This window comes from Homo sapiens, chromosome 22 (genome assembly GCF_000001405.40).
Source record: "Homo sapiens chromosome 22, GRCh38.p14 Primary Assembly".
NCBI classification, from domain to species: Eukaryota; Metazoa; Chordata; class Mammalia; order Primates; family Hominidae; genus Homo; species Homo sapiens.
In genome coordinates, this window is record NC_000022.11 from 21,279,302 (window position 1) to 21,300,241 (window position 20,940).

At 53.2% G+C, this 20,940-nt stretch overlaps 2 pseudogenes across 1 annotated transcript, besides 1 other annotated feature; one reads left to right on the top strand and one right to left on the bottom strand.

Annotated features, from left to right (window-relative positions):
- Positions 701 to 1,646: an enhancer, noted in NCBI's record as "H3K27ac-H3K4me1 hESC enhancer chr22:21634291-21635236 (GRCh37/hg19 assembly coordinates)". NCBI's record gives its function as "activates a minimal SCP1, AML or CMV promoter by ChIP-STARR-seq in naive H9 embryonic stem cells {active_cell/tissue: H9 hESC(naive)}" and the evidence as "EXISTENCE:reporter gene assay evidence [ECO:0000049][PMID:30033119]".
- Positions 3,124 to 18,429, top strand: POM121L8P (POM121 transmembrane nucleoporin like 8, pseudogene; annotated as a pseudogene). The gene is made up of 7 exons (NR_024583.1): positions 3,124 to 4,974; positions 8,281 to 8,487; positions 9,524 to 9,586; positions 10,294 to 10,400; positions 11,393 to 12,562; positions 13,220 to 14,134; positions 15,027 to 18,429. The product of NR_024583.1 is annotated as a POM121 transmembrane nucleoporin like 8, pseudogene (transcript).
- Positions 8,928 to 15,288, bottom strand: BCRP6 (BCR pseudogene 6; annotated as a pseudogene).
- Positions 18,430 to 20,940: the final 2,511 nt, after the last annotated feature.

Here is a 20,940-nt window from a genome sequence, read left to right on the forward strand (position 1 = left end):
AAAAGCTCCTAAGGGCAGAAACTAAGTGGCTCACTTCCTCTGTAACACTGCCGTGCCCAGCACTGTACCAGCACCCCAGCAGAGTCAACAACTTTCCGTCAAGCCACACACTTACGGTCTCATCGTCCAGTGGAGGCCGCAGATGAGACATAGTGTGCCAAATCCCAAATGCACAGGGTGCCAGACAAGTCTGCGGGAGGCAGGAGGACTAGGGAAGCCTTCCAGGCAAGGTGATGCCTGAGCTGAGTTGTTTTTCTTTTGAGTTTGGAACATTAATTTAATCGGAGGAAAACAAGGGACATGAAAAGGGCAAGGAAATAAGAAAATGAGCTGAGTTTTGAAGGCAATGATCAGATGAAGTGAGAGAAGAATATTCCAGCAGAGGGAGACAAGGAGACTGCAGAGATTTCAAGGGGCCAAGAGCTGTTCGGTGCAGCTCAGTGAAGCACCTAAACAGAGGTGGGGGAAGGAGAACAGGGGTCAAAGCCCAGTATTGAAGTGTTCTGGATACCAAGCTAAGGAGACCTTATTACGAAGGTACTGGGGCTGCTGAAGGGTTTAAATGGGAGAGTGATTGTGAACAGATTAATAGTTTGGAAAGATACAGGCAGAAGTAAACCTCTGGATTTAACCAAAAAATAAAGGACAGAACCACAATGAAGATGTTGGAAAAGATCAGGAAAAACACTGTTAAAAGATATTCACTCTCGGGGCCGGGCGCTGTGGCTCACGCCTTAAATCCCGGCACTTTGGTAGGCCGAGGCGGGCTGATCACGAGGTCAGGAGATCGAGACCATCCTGGCTAACACGGTCAAACCCCGTCTCTACTAAAAATACAAAAAATTAGCCGGGTGTGGTGGCGGGCGCCTGTAGTCCCAACTACTCCAGAGGCTGAGGCAGGAGAATGGCGTGAACCCGGTAGGCGGAGCTTGCGGTGAGCCGAGATCAGGCCACTGGAATCCAGCCTGGGCGACAGAGGGAGACTCCATCTCAAAAAAAAAAAAAAAAAAAAAGAGAGAGAGAGTCTGACTCTGTTGCCAAGACTGGAGTGCAGTGGCGCGATCTAGGCACATCACAATCCCTTCCCCGCCCCCGGGTTCAAGTGATTCTCCTGTCTCAGCCGCCGGAGTAGCTGGGACTACAGGCGCGTGCCACCATGTCTGATTAAATCTGTATTTTTACTAGAGACGGGGTTTCACTCTGTTGGCCAGGCTGGTCTCCAACTCCTGATCTCGTGATCCGCCCGCCCCGACCTCCCAAAGTGCTGGGATGCGTGAGCCTCCACGCCTGGCCACTAATTTTTCTTTCTTTCTTTCGTGTGTGTGTGTGTGTGTGTGTGTGTGTGTGTGTGTGTGTGTGTGTGTGACGAAGTTTCGCTCTTGTTGCCCAGGTTGGAGTGCAATGGTGTGATCTCAGCTCACTGCAATCCCCGCCTCAACAGGAGAGCAGGAATCTTCAGTGATCCACTGGCGGATCTGCAGCCATTGTGCGCGCCAGGTCTTCCCAAGTCTTTTGTGCGCGCGCCTCTCCTTCCAGTACCTATGCCGCCAGCGTCCCCTAGCCTCCCGCCATTGCCAGCAGGTGCTGAGATCGCGCCATTGCACTCCAGCCTGGGGGACAAGAGCGAAACTCCATGTCAAAAAAAAAAAAAGGATGAAAATTTTGGGAAAATATGGAAGAAACCAAATGGATTTCTAGCTCAACTAAATCGTAATTATTCAGTGTCTAGTTTTGGCAAGAAACCACATATTTCATGTCCACAATCAGGGACACAGTCCCAGCTCTCAAGTGTGGGTCTTTCCTAAGCAAATTGAAGAACACAGGCATAAAAGTACATTAAATCAATAAACCTTTTTCTCTCTGTCTCTCTCTCTCTTTTTTTTTTTTTTTTTGAGACGGAGGTTGGCACTGTCACCCAGGCTGGAGTGCTGTGGTGAGATCTCGGGTCACTGCAAGCTCCGCCTCCCGAGTTCACGCCATCCTCCTGCCTCAGCCTCCAGAGTAGCTGGGACTACAAGCGCCCGCCACGACGCCCGGCTAATTTTTTGTAGTTTTAGTAGAGACGGGGTTTCGCTATGTTGGCCAGGCTGGTCTCCAACTCGTGACATCGTGATCCGCCCGCCTCCGACTCCCAAAGTGCCACAGCCCAGGCCTTTTTTTTTTAAGACAGAGTCTCGGCCCGGCGCGGTGGCTCACGCCTTTAATCCCAGCACTTTGGGAGGCCGAGGCGGGCTGATCACGAGGTCAGGAGGTCGAGACCATCCTGGCTAACACGGTCAAACCCCGTCTCTACTAAAAATACAAAAAATTAGCCGGGTGTGGTGGCGGGCGCCTGTAGTCCGAGCTACTCCCGAGGCTGAGGCAGGAGAATGGCGTGAACCCGGTAGGCGGAGCTTGCGGTGAGCCGAGATCAGGCCACTGGAATCCAGCCTGGGCGACAGAGGGAGACTCCGTCTCAAAAAAAAAAAAAAAGAGTCTGGCTCTGTTGCCCAGGCTGGAGTGCAGTGGCGCGATCTCGGCGCATCGCAATCCCTTCCCCGCCCCCGGGTTCAAGTGATTCTCCAGTCTCAGCCGCCGGAGTAGCTGGGACTACAGGCGCGTGCCACCATGTCTGACTAAATTTGTATTTTTACTAGAGACGGGGTTTCACTATGTTGGCCAGGCTGGTCTCCAACTCCTGATCTCGTGATCCGTCTGCCCCGACCTCCCAAAGTGCTAGGATTATAGGCATAAGCCACCACGCCCGGCCTCTTTTTTTTCTTTTTCTTTTCTTTATCTGGAGACTGAGTTTTGCTCTTGTTGCCCAGGCTGGAGTGCAATGGTGCGATCTCAGCTCACTGCAATCTCCACCTCAGCAGGAGAGCAGGAATCTTCAGTGATCCACGGGCAGATCTGCCGCCATTGTGGGCACCTGTTTCTCCCGCAACCTTTGTGCCCGCCTCTCTCCTTCCCGTACCTATTGCATGACCCCCCACGTCCGCCTCCCGCCATTGCCAGCAAGTGCCTCGCGCGGGTACCTGGCTGCGCTTATTAATCCGTTAAGCTCGCTCTGTCACGGGCGCCGTGATGTGCTCACGCGCCCGCTCCCTCAGGTTTAAAAGGCGCGTTGCCCGGCAACAGAAGAAACTGCTGGCTTAGCCGTTGGCCGAGTTGGCGGCTGGACGAGGACGCTCAGAGCCCAGCTCTCGAGAGTTCAAGCAACCGACGGTTCCCCACTGCTCCCAGGAGCGGTTACCTGGGCACTCTGTGCCCCTCCTTCCTGTTCGGGCCCAGGCCGAGGACCTGCCAGTAGGGCTCAGTTGCCTGGAGCCCGTTCAGCCCATCCCCCAGTTCACTTTGCTTGTGGGATCTCCCCGTTGCTCCTGCCCGTGGACTGAGTGGCAGGCCATCCTACAAGCACCCGGACACTTGACATCAGTGGTGTCAAGACAACTCTAAGAAGGTTTTCCGTGATCCTGCAAGCCCTGCCTTCCTTCCTGGGATCCTGCCTTCAATTTGATTGCACAGGTACCACAGCAAGCCAGTGCTGCGTGCTCCGAGTTCCAGGGCGTCCTCCAGCTCAGCCACTGCACTGAGAACATGGACTCTCTGTGGGGCCCAGGAGCCGGGAGTCACCCCTTTGGGGTCCACAACAGCCGGCTGTCCCCAGACTTGTGTCCAGGGAAGATAGTGTTGAGGGCCCTCAAGGAGAGCGGGGCAGGGATGCCTGAGCAGGACAAGGACCCTAGAGTCCAAGAGAATCCTGGTGATCAGAGAAGGGTCCCCGAGGTCACCGGGGATGCACCGTCTGCATTTCGGCCCCTGCGGGACAATAGAGGCCTCTCTCCCTTTGTGCCCGGGCCCGGGCCTCTGCAGACAGACCTCCATGCCCAGAGGTCAGAAATCAGATATAACCAGACATCCCAGACCTCCTGGACGAGCTCCTGCACCAACCGAAATGCCATCTCCAGCTCCTACAGCTCCACGGGAGGCTTGCCGGGGCTAAAGCGGAGGAGGGGGCCAGCCTCATCCCACTGCCAGCTGACCCTCAGTTCCTCAAAGACAGTGAGTGAGGACAGGCCTCAGGCTGTCTCTTCAGGTCACACCCAGTGTGAAAAGGCAGCAGATATAGCACCAGGGTAGACACTCGCCCTCAGGAATGACTCCTCCACATCCGAGGCCTCTAGGCCCAGTACACACAAGTTTCCCCTGCTGCCACGCAGGCGAGGGGAGCCTTTGATGCTGCCACCTCCCTTAGAGCTGGGGTACCGGGTCACTGTTGAAGACCTGGACCGGGAGAAGGAGGCGGCATTCCAGCGCATCAACAGTGCACTGCAGGTTGAGGACAAGGCCATCTCGGACTGCAGACCCTCACGGCCTTCCCACACTTTGTCCTCACTTGCAACAGGGGCTTCTGGTCTGCCTGCCGTTTCTAAAGCACCCAGTATGGATGCACAGCAGGAGACACACAAGTCCCAAGACTGCCTGGGCCTACTGGCCCCCTTAGCATCTGCTGCAGGGGTCCCCTCTACAGCTCCCATGTCTGGGAAGAAGCACAGACCACCAGGCCCCCTGTTCTCCTCCTCAGATCCCCTTCCTGCCACCTCTTCCCATTCCCAGGACTCAGCCCAGGTCACCTCGCTGATTCCTGCCCCCTTCCCAGCTGCAAGCATGGATGCGGGCATGAGAAGAACAAGGTGTGGCACTTCTGCTCCTGCAGCTGCCGCAGCAGCCCCTCCCCCCTCCACATTGAACCCCACGTTGGGGTCACTACTGGAGTGGATGGAGGCCCTTCACATTTCTGGGCCTCAGCCACAGCTGCAGCAGGTGCCCAGAGGTCAGAACCAGAGATCCCAGACCTCCCGGACCAGCTCGTGCCCCAAACGAAATGCCATCTCGAGCCCCTACCGCTCTACGGGAGGCCTCCCGGAACGAAAGCGGAGAAGGGGGCCAGCCTCATCCCACTGCCAGCTGACCCTCAGTTCCTGAAACACAGTGAGTGAGGACGGACCTCAGGCTGTCTCTTCGGGTCACACCCAGTGTGAAAAGATGGCAGATACAGCACCAGGGCAGACACTCGCCCCCAGGGGTGGCTCCCCCAGATCCCAGGCCTCTAGGCCCTGTAGATGCAAGTTTCCCCTGCTGCCACGCAGGCGAGGGGAGCCTTTGATGCTGCCACCTCCCTTAGAGCTGGGGTACCGGGTCACTGCTGAAGACCTGGACCAGGAGAAGGAGGCGGCTTTCCAGCGCATCAGGAGTGCACTGCAGGTTGAGGACAAGGCCATTTAGTACTGCAGACCCTCACGGCCTTCCCACACTTTGTCCTCACTTGCAACAGGGGCTTCTGGTCTGCCTGCCATTTCTAAAGCACCCAGTATGGATGCACAGCAGGAGAGACACAAGTCCCAAGACTGCCTGGGCCTAGTGGCCCCCCAGCATCTGCTGCACAGGCCTGTAGTCCCAGCTACTCAGGAGGCTGAGGCAGGAGAAGGGCATAAACCCGGGAGGCAGAGCTTGCAGTGAGCTGAGATCGCGCCACTGCACTCCAGCCTGGGTGACAGAGCGAGACTCCGTCTCAAAAAAAAAGAAAAAGAAAAAAAGTTATTGTGACATTTCTGTATGAAATCAGCCTTCACTACATGGATAGGACCAGCAGGCTTCCGCGGCACGACTCTGCAATCATACTACATTTTTTTTTGTATTTTTTTTATTCCTTTTGAGACAGAGTCTCACTCTGTCACCCAGGCTGAAGTACAGCCGAGATCTCGGCTCACTGCAAACTCCACCTCCTGGGTTCAAGCAATTCTCCTGTCTCAGCCTCCCAAGTAGCTGGGACTACAGGCACACGTCAAAAGGCCTGGCTAATTTTTGTATTTTTAGTAGAGATGGAGTTTTGCCATATTGGTCAGGCTGGTCTCGAACTCCTGACCTCAGGTGATCTACCTGTCTTAGCCTCCCGAAGTGCTAGGATTACAGGTGTATGTTTATTTATTTATTTAAGATGGAATCTTGCTCTGTATTTATTAATTTATTTAGTTGAGATGGAGTCTTGCTCCATCACCCAGGCTAGGGTGCAGTGGTGCAATCTCGGCTCACTGCAACCTCTGACTTCCAGTTTCAAGCGATTCTCCTGCCTCAGTGTCCCAAGTAGCTGGGATTACAGGTGCCTGCCACCACAGCTGGCTAATTTTTGTATTTTTAGTAGAGACAGTGTTTCACCGTCTTGGCCAGGCTGGTCTCGGGCTCCTGACCTCATGAACCACCTGCCTCAGCCTCCCAAAGTGTTGGGATTACAGGCCTAAGGCACCATTCTCGGCCATATTTATTTAATTATTTAGAGACAAAGTCTTGCTCTGTCACCCAGGCTGGAGTGCAGTGGCGCCATCTCAGCTTACTGCAGCCTCCGTCTCTGAGGTTTAAGCGATTCTCATGCCTCAGCCTCCTGAGTAACTGGGACTACAGGTACTCACCACCATGCAGGGATATTTTTTTCTATTGTTTTATAGAGACACGGTTTCACCATATTGGCCAGGCTGGTCTCGAACTCCTGACCTTAGGTGATCTGACAGCCTCGTCCTCTCAAAGCACTGGGATTACAGGCATGAGCCGCCAAGCCCGGCCTCTCACTACATTTAAGTGACGCCATGGCTCATGCCTGTAATCCTAGCACTTTGGGAGGCCAAGGCAGGTGGATCACCTGATGTCAGGAGTTCGAAACGAGCCTGGCCAACATGGGGAAACCCCGTCTCTAGTAAAAATACAAAAATTAGTCAGGTGTGGTGGTACAAGCCTGTAGGCCCAGCTACTTGGAAGACTGAGGCAGGAGAATCACTTTAAGCGGGAGGCAGAGGTTGCAGTGAGCCAATCTCAAAAAAGAAAGAAAAAAAAAAAGAAAAACATATGATGCTGGAGCATCTCGGCCTCAATACCTGCATGAGCACAGTCATGTCCAGGCCAGGGCTGCTGGTCGAGGTCCGGCCCCATCTCTTCCAGCAGAAAGGGAGTAAGCTTGCAGGGAGGCTGGGGGACAAGATCCCAGGATCTCAGCCTCCGCTCATGGATCAGCTCTGAGACCCCGAGTGAGCTGGGGGTGCTCTGTGTGCACTGGTTTCCCCAGCTGTCAAGTAAAGGGATTGGATGAGGAAGTCTTGTCAAGGTGGAATGATCTCAGATTTGGGGCAGCAGTGAATGATCCCGCTCCCTGGGCCATGCCAGTGGCCTGGCCTCGGCTGAACACAGCCCCAACACTCTGGAATGGGGATGAGGGGGCAGTCAGCTCTTGCTCCTAGTAAGAGAGATGCAACAGGGCTCTGTGGCTGAGCTGGGTGCCTTGCCTCACACCTGTAATCCCAACCTTTGAGAGGCCAAGGCAGGAGGATTGCTCGAGGCCGGGAATTTTGAGAATAGCCTGGACAACATAGCCAGACTCCATGTCTACAAAATAATAAGAAAACACACAGCTATAGTCCAAGCTACTTGGCAGGCTGAGGCAGGAAGGTCCCTTGTGTCCGGGAATTGGAGGCTGCATTGAGCTATAATCGCACCACTGCACTCCAGCTTGGGTGACAAAGTGAGACCCTGTCTCTAAAAGAAAAAAAAATCGGCCTGTGAGCATGGGCTTGATTTTCAAACAGGACCCGGAGGGTAGGGACAGACAGTGCTGTCACCCTTAGGTGCTGAACACTCAGAAACGGGCCAGCGGCAGCCCTTCCCTCACCTGCAGACACCAGATTGGGCAGAACAGCACGTGGCACTTGCAGCTCTTGTAGTGAGGGCAGAACCCAGTGTCAACCCTTCTGCCTGTGGAAGGGGCTGCTGAGGCCTGCGGAGAGGCCAGGGTGGAGGCTCGTCCCCTTGTCCAGCCCTTGGCGTGGTCTCCACCAGGTCCCCAGCCCACCAGTGCAGGGTGCCCCTGAGCCTGCTGCTGCCACGGGCCCTGTCTCTACCCAGGACGTCCCCCCACCCTCGCAGTGTCAGGGAAATGATCATGGTGGCGGTGACACTCCGCAGGCAGGGCTGCTGAGAGAAGCTGAGAAGGGTCACACTGCAGGCAGGGGCCCGTGTGACAAGCCCCTCTCACCCCGAGAGAGCTGACCAGGCAGCTCACGAGCAGAGCCACATCCCGGGAGTCCGAGAAAGGTCCTGGCTGGGCTCAGCCACCTCATTGGCCACGGGCAGCCTTTGTCGTGTGAGCCTTGCTCTCCTGGGGAGGCTCAGGCTGACGGCTGATGTGGGCATTGCCGAAGGTAACCTGTGGCCCAGTGTATATGGCCGGGTCTCCTCAAGCTGCATTCATTCAAGTAGGACCCAGGGTGCGTGCCCATCTCCAGCCCAGGGCAGCTCCCCTGTAAGCTGGGTGAGCTACTGAAGCCAAGGCGGGAGGCAGCTGACAACACCCACAGCCCATGCGGAGGTGGTGGAAAGGCTGGACTCAGCAGCAACACCAAATCCTGGACCAGGCAGAAACCACCCAAGACTGAGGGGCTCATGCCAGAGCGGTGGCCACAGGTAAGAACCCGGGCCCAGGCTGTGTGGCAGGAATCCTCCATGTCCCAGGGCTTAGCATAGCAAAGGAAGACCAGCCGGGTCACCCTGGTGGCCATCTGTCCCTGTCCCACCTGCAGAGTCAGAACAGCCTCTCCCCAGTGGGGATCATCTCTCTCTGCCAAAATAACAGCGGTCCCTGCCCCAACCAGACTACCCCACTCAGTGGAGTTACGGATGCTGCTCCAGCATCCTAACACTGCCCAGCTGGTGCCTGCCTGTGCTCACCCACACCCCCCAGGCCGGCCTTCCCTGCAGCCTGGGCTTGGCCACCTTGGCCTGATTGAGCACTGAGGCCTCCTGGGCACCCAGCCCCATCACTGCACCTGCTGCTTCCAGCCCCACCCCACCGGCTCAGGGGTTCTTCCCAGCGGCGCTGATCATGAAGTCAACATGCACGCAAGTCGTCTCAGGAAACTTCTTAATGAAAGTGTCGGCCACGGTGGTGTGTAGGTGGCTGAGCTCAGATTGCAGCTGCTAAGACACCAGCCACTTACCAAGAGAAAGCCAGGCTGCTTCAAACCCAGGGCCCACGGCAAAAAAGCATCACTTCCGGCCGGGGAGTCTGGAAGCCACGCCTTGTGGGAGGTCACACTGGCATCTAGGCCTTCGCCTGCATTGCAGAAGGAGAGCCGGGTCCCCCTCCTGGAGAACGCTGCGTTCCCCAGCCCCACACCGGCTTTGCCACCACACAGGCTGTTGAGGCAGGAGGCGGGTAAGACGTAGCTGTAGACCCAAAGCAACCACCAGCCCTGGGACCCTGCGGGAGAGGAGCACTTTTAGAACATGGAAAAGTGTGGTCATCCCATCATTAGACAGCACACATCCTACATAAATAAAAAGTCGTATGGGGAAGGAGGTTGGGGAGGGAATAAAAAATTGGCACAGACATTGATAGACTGGTTTCCAGTTTCAAGGTAACAGATGCACATCATGAGACCAGAGGAGGCAGAGACAAGGCTGGATTTGGCTTTTCTAAGCAACATGTGTTCCTGCGCAGGGCTGAATGGTCGCTGAGACAGAGATGGAAGCCAGGACAAGGGAGCCCACCGGGCCCAGATAGGTACAGAGAGCAGAGGCTCCTGTTCTGTCCTCGCCACCCACGAGGGTGACACTGCTTGTAAATGGTGGCTGTGCTCTCCCAGCAAGAAAAAAGCACAACTAAATCCACACTGCACACAGACGCAGACAGAAAGCCTTCAAGTGGCTCTGTTTTCTGCTCCCTGCCTTGCCAGGTCCACAAGCAGAGAGGAGTGTCAGGCACATGGCCCCGCTGTCAGGCTCCCCAGTGAGCTGCGGGCTCAGCAGGAGCTGCCCACTGACACACAGGGGACACCCACTCCTGCCACCTTGGGAGCGGTTGCCAGACAGAGCCGCACTGGGTGCTGGTGTCATCCAGGGACTCCACACACTTCCTTAAATGTGATCCTGCTTCCCTCTGCGCAGCTGCATCCTCTCCTCCTGCAGGACTGTCTGGAAACTTGGCTCTCAGTTTGCTCTCCCTTCTCTCCTCTGCCTGCCCCAAGCCCCTCTTTCTAAAAAAGTGATGCCATGTTCATGGGGTTATTTCTTGAAAATACTTGGCGGCCTCCATGCTTCTGTTTTCTTTGAGCCAGGTGGTCAGGAGGGCTTACAAAGAATGCCTGGGCTCCCCCGCAGGTGCCGGCAGATGGGGTAGCGAATGGTCCTGTGCCTCCACCTGCTCCGGGAGGGAGTCTCCCGTCTCTAGGCCTGGCCCCTTCCTAACCCTCCACGTATCCTGTTCTCCAGAGACTTCAGAACCCACTCCTGAGAACAGCGGAGCCAGGCGCTTAGAGGAAGACCAAATGCTGCCAGGACACGGATTGTCCAGGGATTACATTCCAGCATCTTATTAGGTATCTGGATCTGTTGGGGAAAAAATTAGAAACTATGTATAAAACTTACAAATATTCAAGTATCAAAAGGTTATTTAGGATGAAAGTTTTAAAACAAGTCATCAGCAAGCTGCTGCCACCAAGTGGAGACTTATACAAAAGTTGAGCGAGTCCACTGAGCTGAGAGGACAGAAATGAAGTCACCTGTGCTGGGGCAGGGGCAGGGACACTGGGGGCAGGGAGTGTGTGGGCAGAGAAGCCAGAGAAGTCCAGGCCTGTGGAAGCCAAACAGGAGAGCGTGGGCCGGAAGGGCGGTCAGGATCGGGGGACGAGGTCGCTCTCCCTGGAGAACGAACCCTAAAGTGCGTATCCTGGGATTCCCTCCCTGGGGGTCCTGTCCCCCGACATTTCACGGGCCTTCTGAGCTGCCTTCCAAGGAGGACTAACACGGCAACAAAAGACCCATTTCTGCACAAAAATCCTTCTGGGAAGAAAAAGAAGAAAGCCAAGAATGGAGTCAAAACGCTACCCAGTGCTGACCAAGCCTCTCAAACCCTGTTCTAAGTGGACTGTGGTTTCTAAGTCAGGGAAATGGAAGAGGCCCCACCCACACAGGGACAGGGCCACGGCCCCCACAGGATGAAGCAGCAGCGTTTATTCAAGATACAACAGTGAGGGAATCCGGTCACGTTCCCTTCTCCCCAGAGAGGGCGCTTCTTGACAAGTGATCCAGTAGAAATCTTTTAGACTCTATAAGTTAAGTTCATAAAAACCACTGCTTTCACCCTGTCTCCCAGGGCCAGGCCTGGACTCCGAGATGAACTGGTTTGGGGCGCCCTCGGGTGGCCACATAAAAAACCCACAGTCTGAGGCCAGCCTGGGGCTTTCAGACCTGGGCGGGATCTGCCCAGGCCACCTGTCCTTCTGCTTTGGGCCGCTGTCTCTTGGCAGATGGCCTGACACCTGGGGGTGGCCCAAGGATGCCTCAGAAAATCTTGATTCCCACTCTACAGATGGCCTGATTAGCCAGAGGTTTCCAGGCCGTCTGTCCGCCTCCAGGAGATGGACTGGGACCTTTAGACATCGGTGGAGAACAGGATGCTCTGTCCCTTGCTGTCCAGGGCAGGGATGGCCTCCAGCCGCAAGAAGTACAGCAGCACCTCGACCTGCCCTCGCGGAGTGGGGAAGAGGAGAGTGGCTCGGAAGGGGGCGCACAGCTGCTGGTGGGAGGTCTTTGGGGCCCAAGATCCCAAGTCCACCTCAGGTGCTAGAAACCCCTGCTGGTGTCATGAACCCCTTACAGTGAGACGGGGGTGGGGTGGGGTCCTGACAAGGCATGACTTGTTGGGTGGGGGGTGGTTATTTATTTTAGAGATGCACAGGGCCTTGCTCTGTCCCCCAGGCTGGAGTACAGTGGCTCCATCATGGATCACTGCAGCCTCTAACTCCTGGGCTCAAGCAATCCTCCTGTGTCAGCCTCCCAGATACCTAGGATTACAGATATGTGCCCCAATGCCTGCCTAATTTTTCTTTGTATTTTTTCTGGAGATGGGGTTTGCTACATTGCCCAGACTGGTCTCAAACACCTGGGTTCAGTTGTCCTGCCTCGGCCTCCCAAAGTGCTGGGATTACAGGCATGAGCCACCACACTCGAACACTTGGGGTGGTTTTAAGCCCCCAGCAAGGTGCACCAGCAGGACCAGGAGGTGGCCTAGGCACCCCCTATCACTCCCATCCATGCAAACCTAGGCAAGTCCCTGTCTCTGAATCTCAGCCACCACCACATACAATGCAAGTCGGAAGATGGGCAGGACTGGGGGTGGGGCAGGCAGAGGCCACCTCTGTCAGGCTGGGGTTGCATGGGCTGGAGGCTGTCTTCCCATACCTGGGACATGACCTCCAAGGACCAGCTGTCAGTCATGGTGATGGGCTGGCTGGGGTTGGCAGGGAGCTTGCTCTCCTTCTCGGAGGGCCGGAGCAGCGTGGGGCCAAACACCGTGCCAAGGTTGTGCAGGGACATCTTATTGACTGCCTCCTTCTCTGCCATCCTGTAGAGGACCGAAGCAGAGGGTGCTGTTTCAACGCCACCACCAGGAGAGAGGCAGAGGGGCTGTGCCGTGCTAGAGTCCTCAGGGAGGGAGTGACCTCGACCCTGGCTGTGCTGCAAGCTGACTCCAGCCTTGGTACTTCTGGGTCTCAGTGGCCCAGGACAAGGGGCCAGCTCTGGGCTGATGGGGAGGTCTTCCTGATGTGCTTGGGAGGGAAGGGGGGGCGGTCCAAATGCACTGCTGGCCACGGCCAAAGCTCTGAGCTCTTTGTTAAGGCCACAGTGCAGAGGGAGGAGGGTGGCAAAGAGGAGAGGCAGGGGCGGGGGTGGCAGTGGTGCTAGTCCTTAGAAGCAGTGAGTTACTGCAGACAGGGGTCGGGGGAAAAGGTCCTTGGTGCTGGGGGTCTGGTGGGAGCAGAGGGGCACCCCACGGCCTGGAGACCTGGAGTCCTGGGCAGCCACAAGAGAGCTGGGCTACCTTTCCAGGTGGTCTAGAAGGAAAAGGAAGGTGAGCAGGTTGGCCTCCGGCAGGGACGACAGCAGGTTGAGCATGCAGCTCTTCTTTGCAACTGGGTCTGAAAGAGCTGCAGGAGGCAGTGGGTCACTCCCCTGGGTTACGACAAGCCGGAGACCTCTCCCGAGGTGGTCACATGGAGCGCCAGGGACACGAGTCCTTGCGCAGTTTAGGCTTGTCATCATCGTCACACCCACAGCGCTGGCCGCCAGTGAGGACCCTGTGAGGGGCACCTGTGTGGGGTGTGAACCACCTGAACGCCTTTTCTCTACCTCGCAGGGGTCAGCAGCACCCGGCGAACAGCAGCAGGAGGAGCCGCTAGAGCAGCTGCTCATGGGCAGAGCTGCCCTCGGGCAACTCCTGCCACCACCCCCTCCCCAGGGAGCCCAAGGCAGGGGAGGCTCAGCATGGAATGAAACAGGGGAGTGAGGGACACAAGGAGGTGGGAAGTGGGAGGGTCCCAGCCCCACCAAGTACGCAGAGACCCCCTCGACATCCTGGACACCACAGGGGCACCTGCAGGCTGGGAGACCAGGTCCTCTGTGCATGGGCCCGGGAGGCAGACCTGCCCTAAGGGTGATGCACAGGCTACAGGTGCTGCACGCTCCAGCGCCCACTCTAGACATCAGCCTCCAGGTTGACTAAGGGTCAGGTCATGTTTGAAACCATGCTTGGCTGGACCAGGACCCATGGCAAGAGCACCTGGGCACCAGTGTTTAGCCCTGGTCTGCAGGAAGGAGGACAGCAGACTTTAGGACCCCACAGCACGGCAGTGCTGACCATTTCACCCACTTGGCCTCCTTGAGAAATATGGATGGGGAGCCCTCTGGGGATGGGCAAGGCCTTCCAGGATAGGCTCAGTTTTGGTCCCCTGCTTTTTGAGGTTGGGTTAAAATTCCGACCATGGCAGAGGAAGCACAGCTCGGGTTCCCACACCTCACTTTTCACAGCCTCTGAGGGCAGCAGTGCACGTGGAGGAGACGTCTCCCATGAGGCCAAGGCCTCCAGTGCTCACCGATGCCCTCTGCGAAGTTGGGGTAGAACTCGTCAGTGAAGAGGGGCTCGGGCAGCTCACGGAAGTACAGCTTCAGCATGCCTGCGATGGCGTTCACGTCCATCTCGCTCATCATCACTGACACGTCCTTGTTATCTGGAAAGAGCACGGAAATGCAGCGGCCTCCTTGAAGATCCTGAGTGAGTCACCCACCATCCCTGCCTTGGCTAAAGCACCGTCCCTGCCATGCTGACCACTGTGTGGGTCCCTCCTGGGCTTTGAGCAGCTCATCTGACTCCTCCCAAGAGCTGTGCATGGTTCTGTGTCTGCAGAGTTGATAGGGGTGCGTGGGCATTCCCATTCCTCTCCCCTGCTTGGCCTGATGTGATGGCCAGGAGGAGGCCAGCATGGCAGGACACAGCGCCTGCGTGGGGATTGGGTGGCTCTGCCCTGTACATAGCAACCACCCCTGCACCAGTGTCTTCTGATAGCAGGAAGGCCGTGGGAGAATCTGATTGGTTTCAGTGTTTGAACCGGTGTCTTCCTTTGGACCCAATTGGCCATTGGTGCTTACATCCTCACCACAGGCCAGGTTCATTCTGGGCCCTCAGAGGGAGCTGAAACTACCACAGGGCCCTCCCAGGGATGCTGGGCATTCTAAGGGTCCTGGTCAGGGTGGGTGGTGTGTGCTGCAAAGAAGGGTCTGCAGGCACAAAATCCTGTTGCTTTGAAGATGCTGGGAAGGACCCTCTGGGGTCTCAGTGCCCTCCCCTGGCATTTGAGGCAGGTCCGGGTCCTTCAAAGCCTGTGAGGGTTGGTGAGATGGAGGCGGAGAGGCTGCAGCCCCGGCCTGCGCTGAATTTCATCAGTGCCCTCTGCCCACCACATCCTCATACAGGGCAGTGGACAGACCGCACTGAGTCCTGGGCTTCCACCTCCTGTCCAACCCCAAGGCAGGAAGGCCAAGGCCCCGCAGAAGCCCCTGGTCCACTGCACCAAGTGGCACGAGTGGGTACGATGGTGTAAAAACTGGCTTCTATAGAAGCTGTTTGTACAACTCTTGTTTTCTCTTTTTTAAAAATAATAAAACAGTAAATGAAGAAAAGACACAGAGAAGGATGTGACATGCCTGGGCCATGGAGCACTCTGAGATCTCATCGGGGACACCACTGCCCACACCTCCATCCCGTCCTGCGCAGGCCGACACTCACTGACGTTGAAGCCTGCCTTCAGTGCCTGGATGTCTGCGGCCACCCCAGACATGCGGTAGATGCCCACCTCCTCCATGCCTCGGCGCTCGATCTCCTCCATGCACTGGCGCACGATGTAGGGCACCTTGGACCTCTCTCTCCTGCGGGAGGAGGGAATGTTCTCAGTGTCCTAACAGCCCTGCTTGGGCCATAACACAGGAGACCTGCTCCCTATCTGCGCACCCGGAGGTGGGGTGAGGACGGTGACGAAGGTACCCAGGTCTGGGGCTGCACACAGAGCCTTCTGCATGCCTGTCCTCCCTCTGCAAGCTCTGTCCTCATTGCATGTACTTTCTCAGGAACCTTTCAAGCGGCCAGAACCCCTGCGAATCACACATGACCTTTGCGGGAAGGTCAGGAGGCCTGTCTAAGTCAAGTCAGCACGGGAAGGGCATCTGACAGATTCCAGGCCTGGGGTTAGCAGCCTGTGCCCCCGGCTGGGAGGTCAGACCCGGTGTTGGTCCTGCCACCCACGTGCTGTGTGAGAGGAGAAACCCTGACCCCTGCCCTGGGCCTTAACACACATCCGACGAATGAATGAAGGGTTGCCTCAGCACCGGTGCTCCAAGTCCTGCGATGCTAAGTGCTTTTCTCCTCTGAGTCTTAGCAATGGACAATTCCAATACCTCCACACAGGACACTAGAGTAAGAATCCTTCACAGTTAGAACGCAGTGCTGTGCGGAGGCCTTAACTTGAGTTCTGTTTTGCACCTGGATTTACCAGCACATCAAAGCTGCTTCGCAAGCCCCCTCATCAGCAGGGCTTATGTGGGGGAGCTGCTGATGGAGTCCTCGCTGCTCATGCCCACAGCCCTCCCAGAGTGCTATGCGAGTGGCTGCCGTGCAGTTGGGGGTGGGGCGTGTGTTTAGACACAGATAGGAGTCCAGGGTATGACTGATGGAGGCCCCGGCCCACGTGACCAGCAAGGTCAGAGGCCCAGCCAGATTCCATCCTGGGGAAGCAAATGAATTCTCAGAGGAAGTGGTCTGTGTCTGCATGAACTGCTCTCAAACCAACAAATAGGCTTCTCTTGGCAACTGACTCGTGACAAAGGGTTCAAGATTGTTTGAAAAAAAAAAAAGGGGGGGGGGAACAGGGAGGCAGTAGGTCCTGGAAAAGTAAATTCTTTATTTTACAATAAGAAAGTGATTACATATTTTATTTTTTTTACAATGGTGGAAAATTAGAAGTGATTGTGAAAATGATGTCTACCCGCCTTGCTGATGAGTAGGATGTGATTTGGCTCTTTAGGAAACTGAATTTGCAGAACTTAAGAATATTGATTTATAAAGGGCATGGCCATTGACCCAGTCCATCTTATGCAAATCTGGATGCCATAAATAATATTTAAAAATGAAAGTATTGGGGTGGAGGTTGCAGTGAGCGGAGATCGCCCCACTACACTCCAGCCTGGTCAACAGAGTGAGACTCTGTCTCAAAACAAAAAAAAAAAAAAAAAGAAGAAGAAGTCATTCCCAACATTGCTCATCAAATTATGACCATAAATTTCCAGGATCAGACTAACGGCTAAAGAGACTGATGCATCAACACCAGGCAGAGAATAAAGCAGATTTTTTTTGTTTTGTTTTGGAGAGCCTCTAGGAACTTGAAAAATACATATGGCACACTCTTAAGACCCGGTGGTTCTTAATCAGGGATGTTCATTAAAATGCTGGAAAACTGTAAAGACTTCCAGGTCCCATCCAAGGAGATTTTGCTTCTGATTGACTGGCTAGTGGCCTGGCCATTGGTATTTTGAAAAATCCCTCCAAGTGATTCTTTTACATCCCAGCTAGAAAACCCTAAATTAAAGGTGAAAAACCAGACACCAAGTGGCATTTAAATAAATGTCAACTTTAACTCCACAAAGCATCTGGTTGCACGTGGACAGAAAGAGAAGGAAAGAGGGCCCTATATCTGGATAACTTGGAAATGTGCTCCCCCTAGCAAGATATCTACCAAAATTAAAACCATATTTGAGGATGCTGGCACTGCGAGCAATATATAAATGATGCATGTAACATCATTTAATATGATCTTATTTTTAAAAATGAGTAGAGTGGTGTTTTCTAGCTGTTAGTGTTTCCAAATATCAATGTAGAAATTAGCCTTCTGCAGCTGCAGAGGCAATTCAGTTTGCAGCTTGCTTGCATGTGGCCTAGAGCCACCCAGCCTGATATGTACTAATTTTTTGTTTAACTTGCCAGAGTAGAAACTCAGTTTCTGGGCCAGGCATAGTGGCTCATGCCTGTAATCCCAGAACTTTGGGAGGCCAAGGCAAGCAGATCACAAGGTCGGGAGTTCAAGACCAGCCTGGCTGACATAGTGAAACCCTATCTTTGCTAAAAATACAAAAATTAGCCCGGCATGCTGGCAGGCACCTGTAGTCCCAGCTACTTGGGAGGCTGAGGCAGGAGAATCACTTGAACCTGGGAGGCAGAGGTTGTGGTGAACTGAGATCATGCCCCTGCACTCCAGCCTGGGCAACAGAGTGAGACTCCATCTCAAAAAAAAAAAAAAAAAGAAACTCAGTTTCTGGTTACATCTGATCTTTATTTTTTATATATCATCTAAGCTATAAAGTTATATTCCCTATTTGTGATCTTAAAAGAAGGACTCCAGGAAAGTGTTCAAATATTCATATATCTAAACTGGAACATATGTTTATATTTTTAAAAGTAGCCTGAGAGGTTGGCAACTAAAGTCATATGTTGAATGATCATTTCTCAAGAGTTTCATTTTATGGTCTTTCTCTTGTTCTGTAAAATGTGGGCATGGATAGATATAAAGTGCCTGGTGTCCATGCTTTTGTGAAATCCCTTCCTCTTCCATGTGAATGGGACCTGTGACTTTCTTCTAACCCAGAGAACACAGCAAAAATGATGTGATTTATCTGAGTCCATTGATGACATTGATTACGACTTCCCTTCACCACATTATTTAGGACTGCGTCGTAGGAGACTGGGACACATATCCACTTTGCTGGCTTGATGAAGTAAACTGCTAAGTTGAGGAAGCCCACATGGCAAGGAACTGTGGGCAGCCTTCAGCCAACAGGCAGCAAAAAGCTGAGCTCCTCGGAGCTACAGCCTCAAGGAAGTTACTTCTGCTAACAACCTGAAAAAGCTTGGAAGCTAGTTTCTCTCTAGTGGAATTTTTAGGGAAGAGCATGGCCCAGGCAAGATAAATAATGTAAGTGGAAAAACCTGTCAACAATAAAGGTTTTAAAGGAAAAAACAAAAAACATGTAATTTAGAAAGTAACTGCCAGGAAAAAAAAAAAAGAGACTGGGCCAGTGGCTTACTACACCTGTAATCCCAGCACTTGGGGAGGCTGAGGCGGGTGAATCACAAGGTCAGGAGATCGAGACCATCCTGGCTAACACGGTGAAACCCCGTCTCTACTAAAAATACAAAAAAAAAAAAAAATTAGCCGGGCGTGGTGGTGGGCGCCTGTGGTCCCAGCTACTGGGGAGGTTGAGACAGGAGAATGGCGTGAACCCCGGGACGTGGAGCTTGCAGTGAGCCGAGATCATGCCACTGCACTCCAGCCTGGGCAACAGAGCGAGACTCCATCTCAAAATAAATAAATAAATAAAATATAAGGTCTCAGGAACGTAAAGATTGACATTTACTCCCAAACTATTAATATATGTCCACCCACCTTTCTTGTAGCAAAATCTTAACTTGACGTTTGTTTCAATAGTTATTAAATTTAATTATAATGTCCTAGCCCAAAATACAGTAGAGGTAAACATCCAAGGTACTGGCTTGAGGCCACTGGCCCTGTATCTATAAAGGAGAGGGAGACCATCAGGGGAGGGAGGGTAAGAAAGGGAGGAAGAGGGCAAACAAGTTATCAAAAAACAACAGTAGGCAGGGCACTATGGCTCATGCTTGTAATCCTAGCATTTTGGGAAGCCAAGGTGGGCAAATTGCTTGCACTCAGGAGTTCAAGACCAGCCTGGACAACATGGCAAAACCCCATCTCTACAAAAAATCGGCCAGGCCTGGTGGTGTACGCTTGTAATTCCAGCTACTTGGGAGGCTGAGGTAGGAGGATCACTTGAGCCTGGAAGGCAGAGGTTGCAGTGAGCCGACATCATGCCACTGCACTTCAGCCTGAGTGACAGAGTAAGACCCTGTCTCAAAAACAAACACATCAGTTATTCATATTTCAGAGTAAGGACAAAACATTTTTAAGTAGCTGGCAAAGGACATCACTATATTTCAGAGTAAAACAAATAGGAAATGCTTATCATTTGACATATTTTTAAACATTGTATCTGAAAAGTGAACAAAGAAGTGAATGTGCTTATGATTAAATTGACTTTGTTACTTTGTAAACTTGTAGCTTTAGACCTGTCTCTTAGCATCACCAAGCCTTGATCTTTTCATCTATAAAATGGGCATGGTAATGCCAGCCTTGCTATGTTTATAGGTCACTTAGGAATGAGGTATGTATGGTGTTGACCATGGTTTCTGGCAAGTGGCATATATTCATTATACCATAGCTCTTTTCAGAAAGCTAAGTCACCACGTACATGTTAATGCAACCTGCTGAAAATAGGCATGGAAAAACTAGAAAATCTAGAAAAATTAGAAAATCACTGAAGAGGATTTTCTTTAAAAAAATACATACTTTAAACTCGGGAGGCTGAGGAGGGAGAATCGTTTGAACCTGGGAGGCGGAGGTTGCAGTGAGCCAAGATTGTGCCACTGCACTCTAGCCTGGGCTACAGGGCAAGACTCCATTAAAAAAAAAAAAAAAACCAGCAAAAACCAAACAAAACATAATGCATGTTCTCTCTTATAAATGGGAGCTAAACATGGGGACTCATTGACTTAAAGATGGCAACAACTGGGAACTGCTGGATGGGGAGGGAGGGGAGGGGTGAAAGGCCAACTGTTGGGGAGTATGCTCATATCCACGTGACAAACCTGCACATGTGCCCACTGAATCTAAAATAAAAGTTGAAAGTAGATTTAAAAAACCCCAAGAGGGCTGGGTTTGGCTTGTGTGTCCATAGCTTGTTAACCTCCGCTTTAGATATTAACTAATAGAAACATAGTGCTTATCTTCCCAGGCCACCTATTTTGTTCCTCTCCAAGGTGATGGATAGATGAAGGCCTAATCCAGCCGCCTGGAAGTTTGCTGACGCTTGTCCTGTCACGGATTAATGAAGCATTGTTTTCTGATGAAGGTTTCATGCCGCTGTGCTGATGTGTCTTCTCTTCTCTCTAGGCAGGAAACTGCATATCTTCTGGTTTACATGAAGATGGAGTGCTAATGGAAATGCCCAAAACCTTCAGAGATTGACACGCTGTCATTTTCCATTTCCGTTCCTGGATCTACGGAGTCTTCTAAGAGATTTTGCAATGAGGAGAAGCACTGTTTTCAAACTATATAACTGAGCCTTATTTATAATTAGGGATATTATCAAAATATGTAACCATGAGGCCCCTCAGGTCCTGATCAGTCAGAATGGATGCTTTCACCAGCAGACCCGGCCATGTGGCTGCTCGGTCCTGGGTGCTCGCTGCTGTGCGAGACATTAGCCCTTTAGTTATGAGCCTGTGGGAACTTCAGGGGTTCCCAGTGGGGAGAGCAGTGGCAGTGGGAGGCATCTGGGGGCCAAAGGTCAGTGGCAGGGGGTATTTCAGTATTATACAACTGCTGTGACCAGACTTGTATACTGGCTGAATATCAGTGCTTTTTGTAATTTTTCACTTTGAGAACCAACATTAATTCCATA